The sequence below is a fragment of the Homo sapiens genome, chromosome 17 (assembly GCF_000001405.40).
Source record: "Homo sapiens chromosome 17, GRCh38.p14 Primary Assembly".
In the NCBI taxonomy this organism is placed as follows: domain Eukaryota; kingdom Metazoa; phylum Chordata; class Mammalia; order Primates; family Hominidae; genus Homo; species Homo sapiens.
Window position 1 is genome coordinate 57,347,288 of NC_000017.11, and position 25,955 is coordinate 57,373,242.

General features: G+C 44.4%; 1 protein-coding gene across 10 annotated transcripts in view, besides 2 other annotated features; it reads left to right on the forward strand.

The window, feature by feature from the left end:
- MSI2 (musashi RNA binding protein 2) overlaps positions 1–25,955 on the forward strand; it is a 445,731-nt gene that overhangs the window by 91,437 nt on the left and 328,339 nt on the right. The window lies entirely within an intron of this gene.
- Positions 7,665–7,714: an enhancer, noted in NCBI's record as "active region_12430". NCBI's record gives its function as "activates an Ori minimal core promoter by ATAC-STARR-seq in GM12878 lymphoblastoid cells {active_cell/tissue: GM12878}" and the evidence as "EXISTENCE:reporter gene assay evidence [ECO:0000049][PMID:35858748]".
- Positions 16,827–17,070: a silencer, noted in NCBI's record as "fragment chr17:55441475-55441718 (GRCh37/hg19 assembly coordinates)". NCBI's record gives its function as "represses an EF-1alpha promoter that drives an FKBP-Casp9 reporter gene in an ReSE screen in K562 erythroleukemia cells {active_cell/tissue: K562}" and the evidence as "EXISTENCE:reporter gene assay evidence [ECO:0000049][PMID:32094911]".

The window sequence follows — 25,955 nt, forward strand, 5'->3', positions numbered from 1 at the left end:
ACCCCACAGTGTACCATCTTATCAAGATTTGAATTATGAGACCTGTATTCCAAAATAGCTCTTTTAAAATGATCTTAGCCGTTATTTTAAAATAATGAGTGTGGCATTATAGCACCACTTTTCAAATTTTAAGTGAAGAAAAGAAACACATCTACCCATCATCCTGCCTGTGGGTCTCATTGCTTTCCAGCCCCATCCGCATGTGTTCAGACCCCTTCATGCAGGCATTATTGGAGTACAGATGTACATGCTTCTGTCTTGCGTTTCTCTCTCAGCATCATGTATGTTGAAACCCATGGTACTTATATTGGAGTTGTTCTGTCTTCACGATTGTACATGTGATGTTCAGCGAGGTCACTCCCTGGGATTTCTACCCCCCTGAAAGCAAAGAAGTGGAAATTTTGTCCTGGTTTCTCTCTTGGTAGAGTAGGTTTGTCTCTAGGTTCTCCACAATACCTGCTTCCGTGGAATTGGCTGGAGTCGATGATGTTAGCAACTCCTTCTCAAGTCATTTCAGCGATCCTTCAGTCTTTTTCAGGACATTGGGTTTCCACGTATCTGACCATTTCTTCTTTCTTCTGTTCACTGAACCAACACTCAGAGGCTGTGCCCTTTGCCAGGCCCTGGGCTGACTATGGCGATAGAGCGGTGAGCAAGGTAAGTGCATTTGGTCTCTGCCTGCGGGAGCTCACAGGTCATTTGCACAGTTGTGTGCACGGTGCCCTTGTGCTGCGCTGCGTGTCCAGCCTTTCTCATCTGCTCATGGATGCACACATCGCATTAGAAGGGGAGAGAAGGTGACGTGGCTGTAGGAAGACTCTACTCTGCCTTTCTAAATGCTAAGTTCTGTGCATGCTTTGGCACCTTCCTAGTGGTACAAGTTGCTTGTGATACATCTCACTTGGACATATCTATGGTAGTCCAAGGAGTATGAGGGTGGTTAGACTAGGGGTTGAGTTGGGAGTCACAGGAGGCAGGCAGGGAGTGATGGATGCCTGGGTTGTCCCTTGGGACAAGAGGCCACTGCTCAGTTTCAGGAGTTCTAGTGTTCAGCTCACTTCTGTACCCAGGGAGGATGACTGATGTGGTTCGGATATGTGTCTTCTCCAGATCTCATGTTGAAATGTGATTTGCAATGTTGGAGGTAGGGCCTAGTGGGAGGTATTGGATCAAGGGGGCAGATCCCTCAGGAATGACTTAGTGTCATCCCCTTAGTCATAAGTAAGTTCTCACTCTATGAGTTCTCATGACAGCTGGTTGTTTAAAAAGCCTGGCACCTCTTCCCTCTCCTTCTTGCCCCCTTTCTTGCCATGTGATACATTGGCTCCCCTTCCCCCTCCGCCATGATTAGAAGCTTCCCGAAGCCTTCGCTGGAAGCCGTGCAGATGTGGGCAACATGCTTGTACAGCCTGAAGAACCGCGAGCCAAAAAACTTCCTTTCTTTATAAATTACCCAGCCTCAGGTACTTCCTTATAGCAATGCAAAAATGGACTAACCCAATGACCTATAGGGAGAATGGTGACATTCTTAGGTTGGTGTCCTTCTCTTTCCCAACTCACATCCCCTCTCAGGGTGTTCTGGCTTCTTAGCTTTCTGTTACTTTCTGAATTAGGAAAGATCTGATATTATTTACACTCGTGCCTGTTAACTCTCCCAGGTGCTGTCCAAGCCTTTTATCTCAAATTGTGGACTGAAAAGCTTTATCTCTGGTTTAAGGCTTCAAGTCCTGGCCAGTAGACTAAGGAGATATTTAGGGGCACAGAGAAGCCTTCCTGAAGTTCCTGAAATAAGAGCATTCTCGGGCTGCCCTCCTCCATGGTTCCTGGCTGACCACTTGTCTTCTGCCTCGGGGTTGGAAGCCTGGGATGAGGACTCCAGGCTCTCGTCTCGGAGCCCTTCCTTCTCCTGTTACTGGGATTCTCCTCAGCTCACTGCCTTCTCCCTTTTGGTCACTGCTGCCCGACTCCTGACCCAGCAGCCCGGGGATTTTCAGTGTGTGTCTCCGTGTGTGTGTTTGTGTGTGTGTGCACGTGCGCTTCCATCCCTGAGCTCACTAGAGAGGCATAGGGCAGCATGAACACTCACGGAGAACGAATGCTCATGAGAAGCGTGTGGTAAACTCAAAGTTTTTCCATTTGGCACAGTTGAGGAGTAACGTTTAAATCTTCTTCTTAATTAACATTTATGAGTGATCCTGACAGTGATTAAAGAAATATAGGAAAGCTCTCAACATATGTGTATGTCAATTATATGTACTGGGGGAAGAAGAAAGATGAGGAAAAATGAAATACTTGAATGATCTGCTTTAGAATTGTGTACATTTGTGTCTAAGTACCATGTCATGAATAATAGTGCTAAGAGTACTTAAGAAGATGAACAGATCACCTTTTATCAGTTTTATGACAGGAGTCAAGTTGGTGCACTGCACATGTGTGCTTAGTTCCAGCCTGTCTGCTCACAACCAGGAACCACACAAAAAGAGTTAACATTAGTCATGGTAAGCTTAGCAAGCAGATACACTTCAAAATTTTTTCTCCTTGAAGCTTTTTAAAGCCAATTTCAGGAAGATATATACTGAAAAACTCAAAGGAGAGGTGACGGTTGGGAAGCCAAGAAATAATTTTTTACTCTAAGAATATTCTAGAACCCAGTAGTACCTGAAAAATCTCTCAAATACATCCTCCTTTGCTGCCCTTTTGGAAAGATTAAAGCATATCTGGTGACACCAGTAGGTGTCATCTGATGGGTTCTTGCTGCCTGGCGCTGTGTGAATTATAAATGAACCATATGGAACCACTTTATATTAAGTAACTTACGTGTTCCAGTGATAGTTATTTAGGTTGTAATCTTCTCAGAATCTGTTGTTAATGACTGGTTTGTTTTCACCTGAGGTTGTTAATGCTCCAAAGCCTATTGTTAACAGTGCCAGAGGTAGGGGTGTGTGTGTGTGTGTGTGTGTGTGTGTGTTCATAGAAGGATGTTACTGTGGACCATATGTAATGGGCTGATAGCTTTTATTTTTTTGCCTTAGAGTCCAGACATGGTGCTCTGGAATAGCCGTTGTAGGGATTATGTTTATTTGTCCTGCATGAATGCCAATTTTCGGTTTGTGCAAGGAAGGGATGTGTCTGGAAACACTTGGAGTACTGGATGGCCTCTCCATGTGATTGGCCTTTGGAGACCGCCCATTGCCTCAGGATAAAGTCCAAGTGCTGTTGCATGGCCTGGAGGGTGGCCGTGGTGTGTTCCTCCCTCCTCCCCAGCAGGGTCATTTCTCCCTCTCACACCCCACCACACTGAGCCACTGGCAGTGCCCTGATCACACTGGCTGTTTATGCTTCCCTGCCTTTGCGCAGGGGATCCCTGGCCCGGAAAGTGCTCAACCCCATCTTGTCAATTTGGCTTCAGCATCACTTGGTCTCTGAGCGCCTCCTGATCCCCTCTGCCTCCTCCTCCTGTGCCTGCTAGGCTGTGCTCCTCTCTGTCAATACCATGGCACGTTTTAGACTTTTTGTTCACCCACTGTCATCGTATCAGCTAGGGTCTCTGTAGGAAACAGACACCTCATGGGAGGGGGTACTTGAGAAGATTGAATGAGGGGATTGTTTACAGAGGTGTAGACAGGGTTAAAGGTTCAGCAAGGAAGGATGAAGCTCCTCAGGGTTATCAGCAATGCTAAGCAGGCTAACCACCCCTAGGCCTGAGGGGCAAGAGGAGGGAGCAGGTACTGAAATTCAGCTGTTGTGGAGGTTCCCAACTGGACCTGTGGCCGAGGAGGAGTGAGGCCCAGCAAGCAGGGGCATCACTGCCTCAACTTCTCTCTTCCCACCTTCTCTTGATAGTGTCTTCCATTGGCCAAGCCCAACCGGAAACCAGGAGACCATTCTAGGGAGGTCAGTCTTGCAAGGCACAAGCAGGGAGGAAAAGAGCAGATGATGGTTCTGGAGGGTCAAGCAGAAAGTAACTAGCACACCCACATTCTCTTGTGGGAGTGTAGGCTCAGTAAGGGCACTAGCCATGTCATTCCAGTATTCCCAGGGCCCATCATAGTGGGGTGCTGGGACTAGGGCTTAGTTGCCCTCCCCAGTCCTCATCAACACCTCCTAGCCACCACAAATAAATACACCATCTAAGCCAAAACTGAGTGCTTGTATAGCTTTGAAACAAATCCTCAGCCCCCTGCCTGTTCCCACTTAGAAGGGTGCTGCTCCTAAGCCCCTGTTTTATATAAATTCTGGAGCCCCCACCTACTTAGCTCAATGCCTGATTCAAAGTTTGTGTGTATGGCCAGGTGCAACGGCTCATGCCTGTAATCCCAGCACTTTGGGAGGCCTAGGTGAGTGGATCATCTGAGGTCAGGAGTTTGAAACCAGCCTGGCCAACATGGCGAAACCTCATCTCTACTAAAAATATAAAAATTAGCTGGGTGTGGTGGCGCATGCCTGTAATCCCAGCTAGTTGGGAGGCTGAGGAAGGAGAAGCGTTTGAACCCAGGAGGCAAGTTTGCAATGAGCCGAGATCGTGCCACTGCACTCCAGCCTTGACAACAGAGTGAGACTGTGTCACACACACACAAAACAAAAACAAACAGCCCCAAAAAACCACACACACACAAAGTTTGTGTTCAGTGTATACTTGATGGAATGAATGAATGGATAGATGAGTGAGACAATGAATGAATGAGAACATACATTGTGTGAAGAAACACTGAGAGGAAGGTGTGAGGCAGGTCAGCTTCTCATTCTTTGGTTCCCTTTCATATTCATAAGGTACTGGAGGTACTGGATATAAGTCGCAGGAAAGTCGGCCTTTCCTATCTCTTTGGTTTGCTGTTGACTTCCAGCACAGTGTCTGCACCAAGTAGGCACTCAACAAGTATATGTCACGTAAATGAATCTGGATGTTAAGTCATGAACCTGGATGGTTTCTTCTTTAGTGGTCTACTCTGAGGTTCACCAGTGTGTAAAGTCTTGGGCTACCATCTCTGTTTTGGGACCTAGGACCATTTTGGTATTTTTCCCAAGTAGAGAAATCTGTGGCCGCCCTTCCTATTTATTCTTTTGATTTCTGGAACTTAGATGTCTGAATAGAGGACTCGATGTTTGTTCCTTTTATTTTATAAAGGAAGTAGGGGAGGAAATAGGACTCTAAGACCTTGGCGGAAAAGAGAAGGGAAGCAGATGAAGAGGAGCTCCCAGGTGAAGGAGGGTGGAACCCTGATTCCTAAATGGGAACAGGTTTGTTCGGACTCACACACTGAGCAGCTCTGTGTTTCTTCTTGCTCTTCCATGCTCACAAAGGTCTGTGATTTTAGGAGGAGGTGTTGAGGGACCCTGGAAGAAAGATAAAGGGTAGGGTCAGAGGAATAAATATCAGCCAATCCCTGAATAATTGTCACCTTAAAAGGCTGTACCTAGACAGGGTTTGTGGTCTTGAAGGAGCCAGTTTCTTATGTTCAAGCTTCTTGGTCTCTTCTTGGTCCATGTGGATTTAACTTGGATGGAATCCCTCTGGCTACCAGTTTGCCTTGGCCAGAAGGAGAAGGGCTCCTCCTAGCCTCCTCCTCTGCTGCTTCAGCCCTGCTGGGCACTGAGCAATTTCACAGGGCGGTGTTAAGGATCAGGGTGTGGAGAGTAGGAAATTAGTAATGACTGGACTGGGTGAGGGTGACTCTTGTAATTTTAAAGAAATGTTTAAAAATTAATCGGTTCTCTGCTCTGCAGCTTTAAAAAAGTCAAGATGGAGAATTTCCCACTGTGACGCCTTTTATTTCTGGAAAGTTGAGTCATTTAATGATGATTTGAATATCAACAGTTCATTGGCCCATCTTTCCCCAGATAGCTCCCGAAAATGCGCTCTCCTCCAGAGAAGGACACTTTTCATTCCTTTAGTTTTCTGGCAACTCAAGTATAGCCTGGCCTCCTGTGTTTCCCCAGACCATTATCGGAGTTGTACTGACCAAATGGGAGTGGGTTTTCACTTGTACCCACTGCTCCTGTTTAAGTCTTCCTTGGACCAACTGTGGGTAGGTGTAAAGCAGGCATGGCTGTGACTTCCACATTGGATGGAGGCTTGATTGATTCGATGTGATTCCTTGGGTTTTCTTGGGGTTGTACTAAGGACTTGTGTGCCCAGGAGGACACAAGGCTAAAGATGGACTTGGTGCACTGATACATGGTTCAGTTAGGAACAGATAGTGGAGGAGCTCCTAAGACATTTACCTAAGATATTCTAAGGGAAATCGTAGACTCTTATTTCCTTTGTTATTTAGGGAGTAGTTGGTGGAGATGTAGGTGGTACCAGTGATGCCATTTCTCTTGTAGGAGCATTTGCTGAGTCAAAGTATCTATTTCCTCTGGAGGGTCCTTGAATTTAAGAGCTTCCAGTACCAGTAGATTGAAGATTTAGTCTGATTATAATTTTTTCCTTGGGTCTCAGAACATTAAGAGTATTCGAAGACCTGGTTCTCTTGTTTCCTCATTAATTTTGGTCCTGGATGGTGCAGGGGTTGGACTGACCTATTAAGTCTCCTTTTCCCCCATCCATGAGCAGTAAGTCTGTCATGGGGATCAGCAAACTCTTTTTTTTTATGTGTGTAAAGGGTCCAGATAGTAAATATTTTAGGCTTTCAGGGATCAGGATGCAATATTGAGGATTTTGTGTAGGTATTTAACATAACAAGAGAGAAAACATTTACGGAGAATTTTTACTGATGAAATTCAAAATATAATGACAATTATTGAGTACAGTTTTTTAAAATACACATTTGCTAATGAGAAGAATGGATTTTGTTTCAGGGGGCATAACATTTTGCTGAATTGGAGTACAAAGTTACTGTTTTCTATTATCAAGTCAGTTATAGATGTTTGTCAGTAAAAACCATTCTTAGTTCTCAGGTAAGAGAAAAACAGATGGCAGACCTGATGTGGACTGCATGCTATAGTTTGCCAACCCCTAGTCAGTAGCATAGCTCTGGTGATGTTAGTTTTGGTGTGGAAAGTGTAAGGACGTGGTATGGCCCAGGACCCCATGTTGCTCTTTGAATGGCTGGGAAGGTGTTTGAATGCCACAACACTGGAATTTTGTGTATTTAATAAATAGTGGTAGAGAGGCCAGGCAATAGAAATACAGAAGTGAGCAGGATGGTCAAGGTCAATGCCCTGGGAGAGCTTACATTCTAAGAGAGATGATAAGTGAATATAAAATTTGATTCCAGGTGGGGGAGGGGTGTTTAAAGGATGTCTCTCTGGGAGGTGATATTTGGATAGAGATCTGAACTAAGGGAGGGAATGGTCGCCAGAACTTTAGGTGAGGCAGCAGCAGAGGCAACATCTTGAGATAGGAGAAAGCTTGATAAGTGTGAACCTCCAGGAAGTGCAGGTGAGAGCAGAGAGGGTGTGATGAGGAAGGGGGTGGGAGAGGAGTTTGAGGAGAGAGGCAGGGGCCAGATACAAGGAGCCTGGGAGCTTGTATTAATACAAAGGAGCATGCGATGGGATGTTGTTGGAAGGATTCGAGCAGCCAGAGAATGATGCAGTATGATTAACTGTTGGAGAAGATCTCTCTAGCTGCTGGGCAGAGTAGACTCTAGAAGGCAAGAGTGGAAGTGGTTTTATGGGGCCACAAAACTGAGTGTTGAAAATAAAGATAGTCTGAAAAATGTGGAGTCTGTGACCAGCATATTTTTAAGATTGTCTTCTGTGTCATAAGTCAGGATCCTTCTGGTTTCAAATAACCCAACTCAAAGGAACCCAACCAGAAAGGAGAATACCTTGGCCCACATAACTGTAAAGTCCAGGAGTTTTCCTGGTTTTGTCACAGCTGGTCCCAGGGCTCCGGTGATGTCACCATGGCTCTCTCTGTCCCTCATCTCTCCTCTCTCCTTTTCTCTGTGGGTTGGCCTCATTCACTCCTTTTGCACGTAAATGTTTTCCATGAGTTGGTGAAGTGGCCGTCAGGATTCTGGATGCACATAGGAGCTTGGCAGCTCCCATGGAAATAGTACTGCTTTCTTTCAGCATCTGCATATCACTGTCAGGAAAGTTCCCTGATTGGCCTTGCTTAGGTCACAGGTCCAGCCCTTGGACCAGTCTGTGATGGATAGTCCCTTGGAACTGGGTAGGTTCCCTGAAGACAGGGGTGCTGAACAGACACAACAGTGTATGTCCAGCTTTGGTCTGTCCTCTTTGGTCTCCCTTATTTTTCTCTTCCTTTTCTGCCTCAGACCTTTCTGTTAGGGATGCGTGCCAAAACTCAAGTGGAACTGGTGTCTTTACCCTCAAAACACAGACTCCTGAATTATAATCACATGCTGATTTTCGTGGTTACCACTGATCATGACCACATGATTCTTTTGCTCTGAGGGTTGGGCCAAACCCCCTCCCTTGTTCTGGCAATGCTATTTTGAGAGGCCATGGGGGCAGGCAGGGCCTGGCGGGTTCCAGACTCTGGCTCACCTTTTAATAACTTGCTCTGTGACCCTGGATGTGCCATTTAACCTTTCTGAGACTTAGTTTCTGAGCTGGGTGCATCAACTAAGATATCCATCAAATACTTTGGAAGATGTAAAGTGGCATTTAGATGACATAGGCTATGTTTCCCAGGCTAGGACATGGGCTATGTTTCCCAGGCTAGAGTGCGATGGCACAATCTCAGCTCCCTGCAACCTCTGCCTCCCGGGTTCAAGCAATTCTCCCTGCCCCAGCCTCCCAAGTAACTGGGATTACAGGCACCCACCCCCACGCCCAGCTAATTTTTTCTGTTTTTAGTAGAGTTGGGTTTTCGCCACGTTGGCCAGGCTGGTCCCGAACTCCTGACCTCAGGTGATCTGCCCGCCTCAGCCTCCCAAAGTGCTGGGATTACAGGCTTGAGCCACCGTGCCTGGCCAGTCTTTTTTAATCTTTTGCTTAGGAAAGAGAGTGACGGGGAAAGAAAGGTTTAATTCTGGACCTTACTACCCACACATACCAGATCTCCCCTCTTTGCATAACTTCTTTTTTGGCGGGCATGTTTCTTCATTTTTATCTTCTTGATAACTTTGATGCCCTGGTTGGACTCTTAAGCAGATTATCCTTGGGTGGGGACGTCAGCAGGGAGAACCACCCCAGACTAAGACAAGTTGTGTTTTGTCTGTCAGCCAAAAGCACTCTTAGCAATCCGACATAGACATCATTTTAGATGTACAGAGAAGAAAGAACAACACAGTATTGATAAGATTTCAGCAAGATCCCCCCTCCCCCAAAGACGAAAACACACAAAACTTAATGCATTGCTCTGTAATGCCTTGGTTCCTAGTTTCCTAATTAGGCCTGTGGTTTAGCAGAGTGCACCATCTCAATACACAGATGGTTTTTATGTAAAAAAATTTTTTTCAAATGTTAATTTCCAGTGACTGATGTTTTATGCCTAAATCATTTTCCATTGTTTATATTTGATAAGAACTGTATTTGAACTGCTCCTTTATAAGTTGGAGTCTTTTGTAATGGGATTTAACTTACTGGTTTTACAGGTGTATGAAAATGTTAAGCCGTGTATTGTATTTGAGAGTTTGAAAATTCTTCGTTGCAGCTAATTTAAGAAAAAAAAAATTAAACAGGTGATTAGCAGCTGCTTTCGGTTTTGAATGTCCTCGCTTTGGGGTTTTGTGTTTGCTTATTCGTGTGCAAATTGGTGTGGTTATTTTGGACCGGTTGAGACGCTCCAACATTGCACCTCCCAGGCCAGCTGCCCAGGGCCCATTCAGTAGACCCTTCCCCGCTTCTCGGGGCTGATTTGTTCTCATCTTGTGTGCTCGAGAGCTTGCTCTCTCCTTAATGATTCAGGCCTTCCTGAGAAAACAAAGCAGCTCTGGCCCCGTTTCTCCTTGAGGACAGCCTTGTTCACTGCCACAAAGACCCTGCTTTCTCCCCAAGCAGAGGAACTGCCTCTCGGGGCAGCCAAGAACCACAGACCCAGGCGGCTGCAGCTCCTACTTCTGAACTTCTGGTCTCCCGAGTGACAGCTTCTGCATGGTCTTAAGCTCCAGGACCCCCAAGGCCACCCAGAGTCAGAGTCCACCGCCGGTGGGAAAAACAACATTAGGAAGTGGGTGGTGTGGTGTAGAAGGGGCTGCTTAGAGCTTCTGGCCTTCGGAGCTGGATCCAGCCACTTGAGCTTCATTCGGCAGCACACAGACACCTCCCCTCCCTCCTGCTCTGCCCCAGACCTTGTGCTTTCTTGGCACCGCTGGGTCGTGCCTGCTCAGACCTGGTCAGTGTGCTTGCCAGGGCGAGGAGAGCTTTGCATAGGCCGCTGCTGCTTACTTATTAACGATGACGCTGGTGGGAGCTGCGCCACCAGCTCCCTATCCAGGCCTTTGTGGTTGCATCCTGTTCACATAAAGGTGAAATCATGACCTGCCCGACTTGATTTTTCAGTTGAGGGGCTTTTGTGTATGTGTCGTTCTTGATCCAGTAAGAGGATTGTGCTTTCATTCACAAAGATTTGATCAGTAAATAGGAAGAGAAAATACTCAAGGGAGAAATGCTTAGTGTTCCGATTAATACATTAATCTTTTTTTTTGATGAGCTGAAGGTGCTCTGTTGTTTCTCTTGACTGAGTCTTTGCCCTTACCTTTGACCTTAGTGACTTGATCATCCAGCCAGGATCTCTGTACAGCCCCATCTCCTTTCTGAGGTCTTGTGGTCACACACATGCTTTCCTGCTTCTGTCTTGAATGATACTCAGTGAACCCCACAGCTTTGGGGGCTGCTATTTGAGGCACCACACTTGGCAGGCTTGGCTCCCACGGGGAGTTGCAAAGCTTGCAGTTATAGACCTTGGCAACTATTTGCCCTTAAAGAAAAGCATCAGTGAAAAGTTGAGGGCAGAGGGAAGAAGAGAAAGATCTTCGTGGGTTTTTCTGTGTGTGTGGGGGGGTGTGTGTGTGTGTGTGTGTGTGTTTATGGACAGCATTTGTACCTGTAAAACCAGAATGACTCCTTCAGGCATTTTTTCTCCTGGGTGGTTGCATTCATGGGCTGAAGCTGGCTCTTCTGAAGATTGCAATGATATTTAAGGTTAAGGGCTTGCCAGGTAACACCTTGAATGACTCAAGGCTCTGAGGCCAGGCTGCGTCCATTTGAAGGAAGGAAGCATCTTTTTCTGATTCATGCAAAGGCATCTTATGGACTAATGGTCATCCTAGAAAGTCATCACTAGTACAAGGATCTTTTGGAAAAGTGAGATTGGAGAAGGTTGAGTATGAAAGTGATGTATTAGAAAGGTGAATATGGGATGTGAGATCCTAGTCATTAGCGTTTGGAGGGGGCCTTGGAGGTTTGTTAGATCAAAGCTTTCATTGTGCAAATGAAATGGCCCAGTGAGGTTAAAAGAGGGAAGGTCACACAAATTCCATGAAAACCATAAGTACAAGGTTTGAGGAAAATAATTTTAGGACAAATAAAAGAAGTGCTGATTTTCATTGCACTTCTAACAGTTTTATAGAAGTGTCTGTACCTAAAGTGTTGTACATGTTAAAATGTAAATATGGTCAAGAAGATTGTAGGTGAAATCGAAGATGATATGTTGCTAGGGCCCAGCCCTAGCAACGTATCATCTTTTGAGGAGTGTTCCTCATACTTTGAGATTGGTTTTATAGAGGGCTGTTCCTTATACTTTGCGATTGGTTTTATAGAGGGCAACTCTGTTCACCCACAAAAGTCTCTTGATGCCATTGCTGGCCAGAACTTGGGTGGGAGAATGGGAACTGTTCAGCAGAGCAGGTGAACAGGTGGTCCTGCCATCCCAGTGGCAGGGGCCCCTTCCTTTCTCCCGCCACTCCCGGAGGAATGACCCTGCATCTTATGCACTCTCTCCGATTCCCCAAATCCCCTAGGTCCCACTGCTTGGGTTTGGGGAGTGGGGCACATCTCTGCTGAGAGCCAGCCCATCAAGCTGTCTGGGTCTCATGGTGGCATATCTTTGTTCCAACTCAATATGGGCATTTTAATCTTTATTTATTTTTAAAATTTAATTTTATTGAATTCAGCTTTAATATTATTGAATTCAGCTACAAGGGAGATAGAATAGGGTGATTGATAGTTAAGAGCATGGGTCTTAAAGTCAGAAAGACAAAGGCTCCAAGTCCAGTTACCAACTTCTGTAATTCTGTAATTCTGGGGGGCGGACTTACCTGTCTGAGTCTTAGTTTCTTCAACTATAAAATGGATGTCCCAGTACTGCCTCCCTGCCAAGGTTGTCTGAGTGAGTCCTCAATAAAAGCTGGTAGTGAGATTAATAGCACTTGATGGCAAAGTTTGTACCCAGTCATGGGTAGGGGAATTGCATCTGCCATCCAGTGGCTGAGGTCAAGTGATGACACCCCAAACTATAGGATCCTGGCAGCTACAGCAGGCATTGCTGCTTCCCTTTCGGAAATCCCAATTGTTGAGGCCCTGGCTGAAGCCCTGTCGAGCCCTTGGTGACCCCACTACCATTTCCTTTATGGTTGGCTTACTCTGCTTTCTTTTGCAATGAATATAGTTTAAAATTTCTTTATGAGTGTTCTCCTATTTGCTGCCTTAGCCTGTCACCCACTATGCTGAGCTCCCCACCCCTCGTGATGCCACTCAGCACCTTTATTTGTGATGTGGGGTATTCTGGGAAACTCTTCACAGGCAACTCAGGGAGCCTGGCCCTCCATCTTATCTCTTAGGAAATCCTCAGGTGTCCCAGGGTTTGGCACCAGAGAAGTGCTGTAGACCCTGTTTTCCAGAAAGCTCCGTGCCTTCACGTGTGGTGAGGGAGTGGCTGCCCAGAGCAGGCGAGGAGGCACTGGGGGTTGCACCCATGTTTTATTATGATGGGGGCTTCAGAAGCCAGATGTCTGCAGCTACTTGGAGCAAGCCTGGGTCTTCCTTAGACTGCAGTTTTAGGACTTAAGGAAGGAGCTGGGCTGCTGCCACATGCTCGTGCTTGTGTGTTTAATTTGTTTATTGGTGGATTTTCTACCCTGCCTCACATCAGAAAGGGCTTGAGGCCCAGGGGTATAATAGGTGAAACTTTTTCTCTTGAACAGTTTTGCCTTTTCCTAACTTCTCCGAGCCTCTGATCTCTAGGAGAGGCTAGTCAGCCCTTGGTTTAGGGGCTCTCCCTTGCTGAGTAGGGTTTTGGCTTTGTTGGGGCTGTCCAAGGGCTCCAGGTTCCACTTTTAGCTGCACAGCTGACTTGTCTCTTGTCCCCAGATGCTCTCCTGGCCCGTGAGGGCCATAGCATCTCAACTCATTTAATCTGGTAGCACTGAGGTGGGCAGTGTTTCTGAGTGTTTTGTGTGAACCCATGAAGAGAAAATGTTAGAACTAGGCTTTATGCCCATGGAGTGATTCTTCTACAGTTTCTTAGTTCTATTAAATTTTAAAAATATCTTATTGCTTCCACAGAAGAGAAATTTTTAGAATATGGGAAGAGCGAATATAACATTTTGTTCAATATTAAAAGTTAATTTAAGACAGAACCAGAGGCCAAGACAAGTGTCTTCTCTTTTCTTCATTTGGTGATATAATTGACCCTTTGTACCTGCGTACAACTTAATATTCATTCAGCAGAGGCTAATTATGGGATGCGTAGATGCCACATGGTTAAGGTGAAGATGCAGATTTCTGTGTGAGCTGCTTAATTCTGACGGTTATAACTTGTCCATAAAATTTGCTATGGATTGTAACAAGTGGAATATTAACTCGGAATATGGGGAGGTCAGGAGTATCTCCCATCTGCTTCCTTTCTGAAGGGATCCTAGCTGAACTGAGTGGGGGGTATGTTGTGCACAGTTAATATGTTGTTGACACTTGAACAACTCAAGGGTTACGGCCCCCCTGCACAGTTGAAAATCTGCGTATAACTTTTGAGTACCCCAAAATGTAACTACTTAACCTATCATCAACTAGAGCCTACTGATAACATCAACAGTTGATTACACATGCTTTATATATGTATTATATACTGCATTTTTACAATAAAGTAAGCTAGACAAAAGAAAATGTTAAGAAAATCATGGCTGAGTGCAGTAGCTCATGCTTGTAAACCCAGTACTTTGGAAGGCCAAGGCGGGCAGATGGACTGAGCTCAGAAGTTCGAGACAGCCTGGATAACATGGTGAAACCCTGTCTTTACAAAAAATAAAAAAAAAAAAATTAGCCTGGGCATGGTGGCTCATGCCTGTAGTCCCAGCTACTCAGGATACTGAGGTGGGAGGATGACTTGAACCCAGGATGCAGAGGTTACATTGAGGCAAGATCATGCCACTGCACTCAAGCCTGGGTGACAGAGCAAGACCTTGTCTCAAAAAAAAAAAAAAAAAGGAAAATCATAAGGAAGAGAAAATATATTTACTATTCTTTAAGTGGAAGTGGATCATCATAAAGGACTTCAGACTTGTTATCTTCACATTGAGTGGGCTGATGAGAAGGAAGAAGAGGGATGGTTTTGCTGTCTCAGGGGTGCAGAGGTGGAAGAAAATCCACATATAAGTGGACCCACATGGTTTACACTTGTGTTGTTCAAGGTTTGACTGTACGTTCTGAGCCCAAAATTGGAACACATGCCCTAAGGCCCTGTCCTGGATCATTTTATATATGTGTATGGTCAGGCTTACAAAGATAGAAAAATGGAATTCCATTTTCTTACATATTTCTACAAATTATTTTGGTCAAAATCTAGAAAATACATAAAACTGAGGTCTCCTGGAAAAGCCAGAATTTATCTCTGGGATTGGGATAATTGGCTATTAGGAAAGGGGTCTACCTTGTTGGCCTGTGGTCTTGACTTTTCCTTCTGGAACTGAGAATATGTGAATGGCTCGTGGAACTGCACGGAACCCAGTGGTGGGCAGTATCTTTGTAAACAAAATGAGGTTGGCTTTCAATGGCCAGGGAATGAATGTGGAACCAAATTGCAGTTTGTAGAAACAGAGCTGGGCTCAGACATTTAAATTAAACGTATATTTCTATTTGCACTTCCATTTTGTTCGGTAATAGTGTTGGATATGGGAAATCTTGTCTTTGTTTATATTTGAGGGAACTGCAGCCTTCATTTCCTAAACGGAAGATCCTGTGGCATTCCTGCAATGGAAGCTCACCAGATGATCAGAAAAGGGAGAGATGGCGAAGTAACTTGTCTCTGGTTACCCTCCCATTGTGGAAATTAATATCTGACCCAATTCTGTTTGCCCAGTGAGTTTATGGCTTGCTAAGTGGCTGTTGTAATGATCCGTCAACTGTTGCAACAGCATTTTCTAACAATTTTATTTTACAGTTCTGAAGTTTTAGTCCATAAATTTTTTGAACTTAAGGCTTTGAGTTGGAGGAGCCATGTGGTTCTAGGGGGGAAAAAAGTGCCAGATTTATTCTTTATGTCTGTGAGCTGTGCCTTCCCCCCATTCTTTTCCCTCTTTACATGCCACCCCTCTGATATTTTCTACTTGAAAAAAAAATTCATACTAAAGTGCTTGTCTTTGTATAATGCTACTCATAGAATATTTGTATGAAAAAAGAGTCAGGAGATGCGATGTTCAACCCAAGTGCATGAATTATGATTATAAAGTTTCCATTTAAAAATGAAGGCTGTTGGAACCCTTACGTGTTGCTGATGGAAATATAAAATGGTGTAGCCACTGTACAAAGCACTGTGGTAGTTTCTCAAAAAATTAAACATAGATTTATTGTGTGGTCAGCAGTTCTACTTCTGGTTATATACATGAGAGATTTGGAGGCAGGGACTTGAACAGACATGTGTATACCCACATACATTGCAGCATTATTCACAATAGCCAAAAGGTGGAAACAACCCAAATGTCCATTGATACACGAATGGATAAACAAAATGTGATAGACATATGATTAAATAGTATTCAGCCTTGAAAAGGAAGGCAATTCCGATAGATGCTACAATGTGGATGGACCTTGAAGACGTGCTAAGTGAAATCAGCCTGTTACAAAAGGAGATTATGGCTCCTCCTATATGAGGTTCCTAGAGCAGTCAAATCCATAGAGCTCCCCACCCCTTATGACATCACTCAGCAACTTTATTTATTAGGTCACAAGGGGGTGGGGAGCTCTGTGACAAAAAGAGCTCTGTGACAGAAAGAGTGGCGATTTTATGTTATGGATATTTTACCACTGTAAAAACATAATAGGCTGGGCATGGTAGCTCACGTCTATAATCCCAGCCCTTTGGGAGGCTGAAGTGGGCAGATCACTTGAGGTCAGGAGTTCGAGACCAGCATGGCCAACACGGAGAAACCCTGTCTCTACTAAAAAGTAAAGAAATTAGCTGGGTGTGGTGGCGCACGCCTGTAATCCCAGCTACTCAGGAGGCTGAGGGATGAGAATTGCTTGAGCCTGGGAGGCAGGGGTTGTAGTGAGCCGAATTGGCACCACTGCACTCCAGCCTGGGCAACAGAGTGAGATTCTGTCTGAAACAACAACAGCAGCAGCAACAACAACAACAACAAACAACAACAACAACAACAAACAACAACAACAACAAAACATAATAAATGAAGGCTGATGGGAAGCCTTATGTGGGTGGGGTTAATGTCTCTCTTAAGCCAGACAGGTGAGAACTGCCCTCTAGATGTCCTTTGAAAATATAGCACTGCCCAGGCTGGTCTGTCAATATTAGCCAGCTAACGTGGTCCTTAGGTCCCAGGCCACTTCCCAGGTAAGGGGCTCCATCCCCGTGCTGACCTGCATTTTCCTTCTAGGTGGGGATTTCAGGTCTAGAAGCAGCTCCCACCTGAAACCTATGTTCTTGGTTGCTTTATGTGATAATTATTGTGTTCTATTTTAAGCCACTCCTCTGAGTTTGGTAACCGTCTGGGATTCTGTTTTGTTAGCCCTCTCTGTGAGACACAATAAAAGAACAGCAAGACCTCATGTAGGTGGTGAGGGGCCAGAAGGCTCGGCTGGCTGGGTTTGGAGACACAGTCCCTCCTGTGCAGCAGGAGTTTTCATTCCCTATAGGTGAAGGCTGAGAAAAGACAAGGCTTTGAATAAAATAAAATACATATTTTTCTCCCTGCTCTGGAAATGCGCTTGGCTCCAACACAGCAGGTGGCCGAGGAACTCAATCTGTGGAAGGCATCAGTGCTTTCAGTGCAATCAAAGTTAAGTGCAGAAATTTAATTAAACGGCATCAAGGATGGCAGAAACTTTGTAAAGCTGCAATGCATTGTCAAATTCAACAATTATTTCAAGGAACACAATCCACAGATGGTGTCTAATTGATAAATTAAGGTTCTGCTTCTCTAATGGGCTTGTGTTTAAGCCCGTTTTCCACCCATACAATAACCATCACCTCCAGGATGCCCCCTTTCCCCTCTCCAGCTTGGACATCGCTGCAAGAAGAAAGCAACCCAGCTCCCCCAGATGACATTCGGGAAGCCTAGGGTTGGGTCCTGAATGTTTAGTGGGAAAGACCTCCAGCTCCTTTTCCTGTGATCCCAAGCTCCCTTTTGGGATTGAGTCTTGTCCTAAAAACAGAAACAATAGGATTTCTTCGGGCCTGTGTGTCCTTTTCTGCTCTGCTAACCCGGATGTGTTGCTCAGAGATGGCTGGGTTATTTATTTATTCATTTTTTTTTTCTTTTTCCTTTTTAGCATTGCTGACTTTCTTCCTCCATGGCACAGGATTTTTGCCCAAAACAAAAGTCTCAATTTATTTGTTCTTTAAAAAAATAAAAACCACACTGAACAAAAACCTCTGTTTTTCAGAACTTGCTTCCTGTCTGTTAATAGTAGATACCCAGCTAACTTACTTTTATTTCGTAAGAAAATATTTGCGATCTCCAAACATCCAGTCATGTGCAGAGAAATGTATCCTGTGTTGAGATTTCATTTGAAAGGAAACCTGAAGATCTTGGGTGTTTACCAGAACTTCATTTTGCAGATGAGAAAACTGAGGCACAATGGTTTTTTATATACCTTGCTTTGGGACTAGTTCTGTGAAACATGATGTTTCTAAAGCTGGAGGAGAGGCAGTTGAGCACATCTGGGCTACCTACTTTAAATGGTTATTTCATCCATTCGTTTGTTCTACCAACAAATATGCATTAGGTACCTTAGCTTTTCTAAATGCTAAGGGGAAGTTCAGTGGTGAAGGAAGACACTATTCCTGCCTGCGTGGAGCTCACAGGAAAGTGTGGGGAACAGATACTGCACGGATCCTATGAGTAGCTGTATCAGTACAAGTTGGGATGGGTGTTCTGCAGGCAGGGTAGAGGGTGACCTGGGAGTGTCTACTGGGAGACATTAGGAGGGTTTCTCTGAGAAATGACTTAGCATTAGGAGGGATGGGAGGAGCCTTCTTGGCAGAGGGGATAGTGAGCTCACGGCTCAGTGTACCAGAAGACCCAATAGAAGGCCATGTGGGGGAGGAGATAGTGTGAGAAAGGCTGGCAATGAGCAAACAGAGAATGTTGTCCTGGGAGATGAGCTTCCACATATTGTGCACTTACTGGACAGTATACCTGGTGCTGTTCAGAACCTTATACAGCCCATCTTGTCTAACCCTTACTTTATTCCTAGATGTATCTCAGTATCTTCTACAGATTGTGGCACATAGTAGAGTCTCAGTAAATGAATCTTCCCAATGTTGACTATTTTTTTTGAGACAGAGTCTCGCTCTGTCACCCAGGCTGGATGCAGTGGGTGTGATATCGACTCACTGCAACTTCTGCCTCCCCCGGATCAAGGGAGCCTCCCACCTCAACCTCCCGAATAGCTGGGACCACCGTTGTGTACCATGCCAGGCTATTTTCTTGTATTCTTAGTAGAGACAGGGTCTTGCCGTGTTGCCCAGGCTAGTCTTGAGCTCCTGAGCTCAAGCAGCCCCACCCGTTTCGGCCTCCCAAAGTGCTGGGATTACAAGCATGAGCCACCATGCCCAGCGTTGGCTATTATTATCCCAACTTTTCAGTTGGGGAAGTTGAGGTGGACTGAAGGTAAATCTGCTGGCCCCAGGTCCGAGACCACCGGTGGGGTGGGTTTCTGTGCTGGACAGCATCTGTCTCCCCCAGCCTGGGCCCTTCTCACGCCTCTTCCCTCCCCTGAAGGGATCACACGTTTGAATGACTTGGAGACTTGGAGACACATTCTGTAATTCATAACTCTGACCACATGCTGCTCTTAAATTTCCACCCCGTGAAGGAAAGAAGAAATGAGAGACAACCCCTAACTTTTTATTTTTACACATATAGTAGAGGTGGAGAGGGCCAAGTTTACAACAGAACCTTTGCAAAAGCAGCAGCCAGGGCTCAGGACCTCACTGGGTACCCTTGGCCTTGTCTTTGCTCCCTACGGGTTGTCCTGGAACAGGAAAGCAAAGGGGAGGAGCGAAGAGGTGGGGACAGCCAAGGAACAGATCATATTTACTTATTTGTTTGTTTATTTCTAACGAGTAGCTGTGGGGAATGCCACTGCAGAACCCTTTCTAATTGCCTTTTATTTATTTATTTTTGCCATAGCGTGGGTGGCTTTTGAAATTGCACGTAATTTACGGAGGCGAGGATCCTGTGCCTGGGATACCAGATGATGTGGCTGAATGGCTGTTGGCTGTTTATTTGCTAGTCTGTCGTTACCAACACAGTATTCTTGAGTTCAGAGGCACAACAGTGTTTGATCCCCCTCCTCTCTCCTATCTAAATATATCCAACTAGTCAATCAGACTTGGCAGCCGTCAGGGCTGTGGCTGTCAGATTGAGTTTGCCTTGGCTCCTCTGAACTATTGGCTTGTTTTCCAAGCTCGAAAGTGTATACAAATAGTGATATCTAAATTAGACTTGCAAACACACACCCAGGTAGGGGCCCTGAAGGGGAAGAATGAGGCAGCATTTTGGTATGAAAATGACATTTCCTTCTCCTCCACTATCTGTTGGAGAGCACAGACGAAGCTACACTGAGGGGAATGGCTTCACGCTTGGTGAACAAGATGCGTGGGTGTGTTTTTCTGAATTGTGATTAAAATGTTTTTTTTTCCTTCAAATTTTAAGTTGTATCAGGAGATACAAGTGGAATATTAACTCAGTAGATGGGGGAGGTCTGGAGTGTCTCCCATCTGCTTCCCTTCTGAAGGGATCTCAGCTGAACTGAATGAGGTATATGTTGTGAGCAGTTAATATACGGTTGGTCCTTGTGATGTTGTTGTCTTGGCTGAGGATTCAGGAAGACTCTTGGGCCTTGGAGAGGCCTTTGGTTCCATGGCCTGCCCCATTGGGCCGGAACAGCCCCTTTCCTCAAAGCTGCCTCAGGCTTTTCCTGTAGCTTAGGAACAGCAGACCGAGCTCCTGGGCCCCTCCCTGGAGGCTTATTAAGGGGGATCAGTGGAAAGAAAATCAGAGCATCTTAAATCCCTACCTGCAAGGTACCCTTAATTCTCCAGGGAGAAACCTTTTATAAATAAATGTCATGAGTGCTCATCCCCCGAGTTGAAGCTTATCTGCAGAGATGCTTCACTCCGGGAGAGAGGGTTGGAGTTGCCATTGTGAAGGCCTGTGTGTGTAGAGGTACCATGCTGCCACCAGGCCATCCCTCTTACAGCTGTGTGGCATCCTGGAGGCCTGGGTAGGAGACGGAGGGTGCCGCAAGTTCTCTTCCAGTGATGGGGAGCCACAGGTGGTTTTGTAGGGTTCCTGGGTCTTAGGTGGTTATCAAAAGCATTTCACAGACATATGTAAGATAAAGACCCTGTCCTCAAGCAGCTAAATGAATGAACTAGAACAGTGGTACCCAAATTGTGGTTCGGGACCCCTGGGCATTCCTGATAACCTTTCAAAGAGTCTGTGACGAAGTTTCTTAAATAATAATTTTAAGACTTTGTGTTTTTCATTCTCATCCTTTTATGAATATACAGTAGAATTTTTCATAGGCTACATGACCTCTGTTGACATCATAGTTCTGGTGGCTAATGGAATATGTGTATTTCTGTGTTTAAAAATGTCTCAATTTTGGCTGAGCGTGGTGGCTCATGCACTTTGGGAGGCTCCCAGCACTTTGGGAGGCTGAGGCGGGCGGATTGCTTGGGGTCAGGAGTTTGAGAGCAGCCTGGCCAAAATGGCAAAACACCGTCTCTACTAAAAATACAAAAATTAGCTGGTCATGGTGGTGGGCGCCTGTAATCCCAGCTACTCGGGAGACTGAGGCAGGAGAACCCTTGAACCCAGGAGGCAGAGGTTGTAGTGAGCAGAGATCTCACCACTGTGCTCCCACCTGGGTGACGGAGTGAGACTGTGACTCCAAAAAAACAAAAACAAAAAAGTCTCAATTTTGATTTCTAATATGATAAATATTGAGAGATATAACACACATAATTCTCTTTGGTGGTCCTCATGTTTTAAGAGGGAAAAGGTGTCATGACATCAAAGATTTTCAGAACCGCAGAATTAGAATATCGGCAGATAAGTGGCAAGTTGAAGTTATATGCTAGGTACTAAGGTAGGCAGAGCTCTAGGGGTAGATAACAGGTGCTTGTGAGTGAGCTGGAGAGGAGATTGTCAGGGAAGGCTTTCAAGACAAGTGGTTTTCTTACCTCGGTTTTGAAGGATGAATAGAAGTTTACCAGAGAGACAAGGAAGGAAAAAGCATTCTAGAAGGAAGGAACGGCATGCCTGAAATATCAGTGTGTCAGCTTTTCCTCCCCAGTCTGTGGGGGTCAGAAATAGGGTCACCCTGGCCTCACCATGAGATTTTTTTCTACTGGGAATTTCCAAAATAGGCTGCATCTCAGAGTCATTTGGTGAGGTTTATGGAAATACTGGTGAAGCTAGTTCCCAGGTGTGCTTTGCTCTACTGATGGTTGGTAGCATTGTTTACCTCTGGTGGTGGGAATGACAGGGTGCTGTTTGTACCATTTTCGGTTCTTTTGTTGAGAGTGACGTCACAGTTGTCCTGCAGCAAGCCAGGGTTATGCCACCCTGTCAGCTATGCCAGAATGGCAGCAGGTGTCACTGGACACATACCATTCCTTCTTTACACCATCTATCAACCTACAGTGGGGAAAGGGGCAAGAATACAGCATAATGAGAGGGGCAGCCAGTTGTAGCTCGGGGACCTTGGATTCTAAGCAGCATGACCTTGGGAAGGGTCTTGAGTCTTTGAGCCTGTTTGTCCTCTTAGGAATAAAGCAGGTTGGACAGACCTTACTTAATAGGCATGCTTAAATCTGCCAGGGAAAGGGACCCTCCTGTTGATGAATAATTCATTCTGGTTTTGTTCCTAGAAAGTATTCCATGGGGCACACACTTTCTCAGCTGCTCTTGGTTTTGCAAAGGAAGATACTGACATGTTCAGATTAAGAAATCGTAAAGCTTCTGAACTACTAAGGAAGGGAAAAGAGGGGCCCAGGGCCCACATGTGTGCCAGGTGCTGATCTGAGGGTTTTTTGTGACTCATCTCATTTAATGGTCACGCTGTTCCTGTGAGTAAAAGCTGTCATCCCATTTTATAGATGAAGAAACAGAGGCACAGAGAGGTTACCTTAATTTGCCCAAGGTCACACAGAATCCTGGTGTTCAGGCCTCATGCCTTCTGTTCTTAACTCCATATCCTGTGTCCCTGGGAAAGGAAGGGGCCATAGTCTGGAGTGGTTTCCAGGAGAAAAGAGCCAGAGTAATCTCTGCTCTTCATTTCTTAACAAGAATAGAAGACAGAATAAAGGGCACAGGGATAAAGGATTGTTAACCAGACTGGCAAATCAGTAGACTAATTAAAAATCAAACACCTTAAAACACTGTCGCTGGGTTAATTGTAAACCAACAATGAAACGTTAAAATTTGCCCAGCCCATGAGTTTGAATGATTAACTGAGTGAGTTAATTTCAAGCCATTGGTTTGAGTAGCCGTGAAAGCTGAGGTTAGTGGAAGGGGAATCTGTGTGTTCTTTCCTGCCCAGGCCTGCCCTGGTGCCTAAGGTCTTGTGATTGTTGCTGCTGTTTGCGTTTTTAATCGAAATATCTTAAACATTTAGGCAGAACCTCACAAATGCAGCTAGATTGTGGAAAAGGACAGTGTGAATCAGCAAAGAGTAGGATTACGTATATCTTTCCAAATAGAAGAAATGCCATTCTGTTTTGCAATATCACAGAGTCCTGGTAGCAAGAAAGGGCCCTTTGGAAAGGCCTTTTGCCTTCCAGTGTTTGACCCAAGGCTGCTGTCCCATCTGTGGCCTCTGTTGCTCTCTCATGTTCTTTTCTGCCCAGAGACCAGGTCTGGGGGTGTTATCAGGAGTTAGTCCTAAGACTGGAATGAGACTCCTGGGATTCAATGATGGCCAGTTGACCACAAGATGTTTCTGTTAGGTTTTAAGTTGAGATTCTGCTACGCCTGCTTTGATGGCTAGGTAACACTCCTCAGCACCAGGTGATGGATTTAACCTCTGTGAGCTGTGTTTCTAACCTGACTGGGCCCAGGGATCATGCTGGGAAAGTTATGGACCCTTTACCCAGAGACTTGCGCTACAACACAGCCACATACAGCTTTGCACTGAGGGTCAGGATGCACAGATCCCTGGTGCTCAGACATGAATGGCCTTATTAGAGTGAAGAAACCCTGTGTTGAAGTCACCAAACAGCTGGACTTTAAATGTTAATGTTAATATTTCACTGTGACTTATATAGCATTTTATTTTTTCCAGAGTTCCTTACAAGACAATCTGATTTGATCCGCAGGAGAATCCTGTAAGGTCAATTATATAGTCGCTCTTTTATATATGACGCATGCAGTAGGCTCAGTATCTTCCCTGAGTGTTGCTGTTTTCTTGTTAATTTGCTAAATGGGCTTTTAAAAAGGAGATAAATGTAAATTTCAGCCCCGTAAAATAGATACATCTCAAATGCTCGTGACTCAAATTAATTAATTAAAAAACAGAATAAAACACCACTCCAGCCACAAAACATGGCAAGGTTGTAATGTTTATTCCATTCAGCCAGTTGATGGGGTAAAATTACGAGATTGGTCTGTGATAAAAATGTTTTTAACTCCAACTTAGACGTTTACAGAAAGGAGAGACTTGGGCAGTTTGTTTATTTAGAACATTGATTACTGCTTCTGCCATGTTCCTCCAATCACAAACACTTGGGAAAATTTTGGAAAACTGCAAGAACTAAGTAAAAATCCCCCCAACGCCACTATTTACCATTCAGAGATAACTGCTATGAACATTTCGGTACATTTTTTTCTGTCCTTTTTCATGGCAAAAAAAAAAAAGGGCAAAAAATTATATAGAGACACAGGTATACACACACACACACACACACAAATCATTGGCTAACCTGCCTTTATAACTTTATCATATTTTCCTCATTCACTGTTTTTATGTTGTGGTTTTTATTGTCTATGTGGTGTTGTGACTTACAATTATACTTTATTTGACCAAAGCCTGTTATTGAATAGTTAGCTGGTTAGTGATTTATTATTATTATTATAAGTAACATTGTGGAATATCCTTGTACATAACCCCTTAGCAACATCTCTGATCACTTCCTTAATATGTTTACCTAGAAGTGGAATTTTGGGGTTAAAGGCTATGGATATTTTGAAGGAGATTTTACATATAAATATATATGAAAAATATATAAAGGAGCTTATATATATGAGATATATAATCTCCTTTACAATATCAAAAAATTTGTAATATATATACTTATATATAATCTCTTAAAATTTTTTTTATCTTACATTGGCCCTCCCGATAAGGAGAATGGTACTATTTTCTAACCTCACCAAAAGTTTGAGAGATTAACTTAATTTAAAAAAAATTACTGTTTTTGTAAAAATGATGTGTTTATGGTAAACATTTTTATATGTGCTGAAGGGGAAGGCTTAATTTAAAAAGATTGGGGTTTCTTGGATCAACTTGAATTGCTTATTTTAAACAGCCCTCTTCAGTGTAGTTTGGCAAAGCTCTCTCTTTCGGGTTTATTTGTTTACTTACCTACTTATCTTCAACACACTGACCTACCCACCTGTGTATCTTATTTGGTTAACATTTATCCAAGTTTGAAGATGGAAATAGTTTTCCTCTGAATCAGAACTTTCAGTGTAACTGTTCCAAGAAACCGCCACCACAGATGTGGGAAGAGGGAAGAGAATGAGGAAGATTCCTGCTGTCTTTTTACCGCTTGGGTTTACAAATGTGGCAAATTTGGAAAATGTCAAAAAGTAGGAAAAATAAAATGAAACCTGAGATCTCACCACACAGAAATAATTATAGTCAACATATTGATATGTTTTCTCTTTTTGGAGGAAAAAAGTTACAGATGAACAGAAATTTGAAAACAAGCTGTGCCTATTTTCTGTTTCTTTTATTACACATTTTATTATCAATGAATACTTTCTGCTGTAAAAAATATAAATGATACAGAAACCAATAGTAGTGTTCCCCTTTCTAGAAGAAACTATAAAAGGGTGTACTGTTCATCGCCCCTATTCACGCTTTAAAGGAGATGTCCAGCTCCAGTTGAAAATGAAGTTTTCTTACCTGGCAATCTGGTGTTTCTGAATGTGATTTGAAATCCGCCACCCCAATGAGAATGAGGACAGTTTTGTTTTTTTTTCCTGCCAAGAGGGATCGATCGTATTGATTAATTGACTGCAAAAATAAATTCAGAATTATGAAAATAAAGGGCATCTGGATTTAGAATTACCAAATATGGCTGGGCACAGGGGCTCACGACTGTAATCCCGACACTTTATGAAGCCAAGGCAGGTGGATCACCTTAGGTCAGGAGTTCAAGACCAGCCTGGCCAACATAGTGGTAGAGACATATCTGTCTCTGCCAAAAAATACAAAAATTAGCTGGGCGTGGTGGTGTGTGTCTGTAGTCCCAGCCACTTGGGAGGCTGAGGCACGCTTGAACCCAGGAGACGGAGGTTGCAGTGAGCTGAGATTGCGCCACTGCACTCCAGCCTGTCAAAAAAAAAAAATCA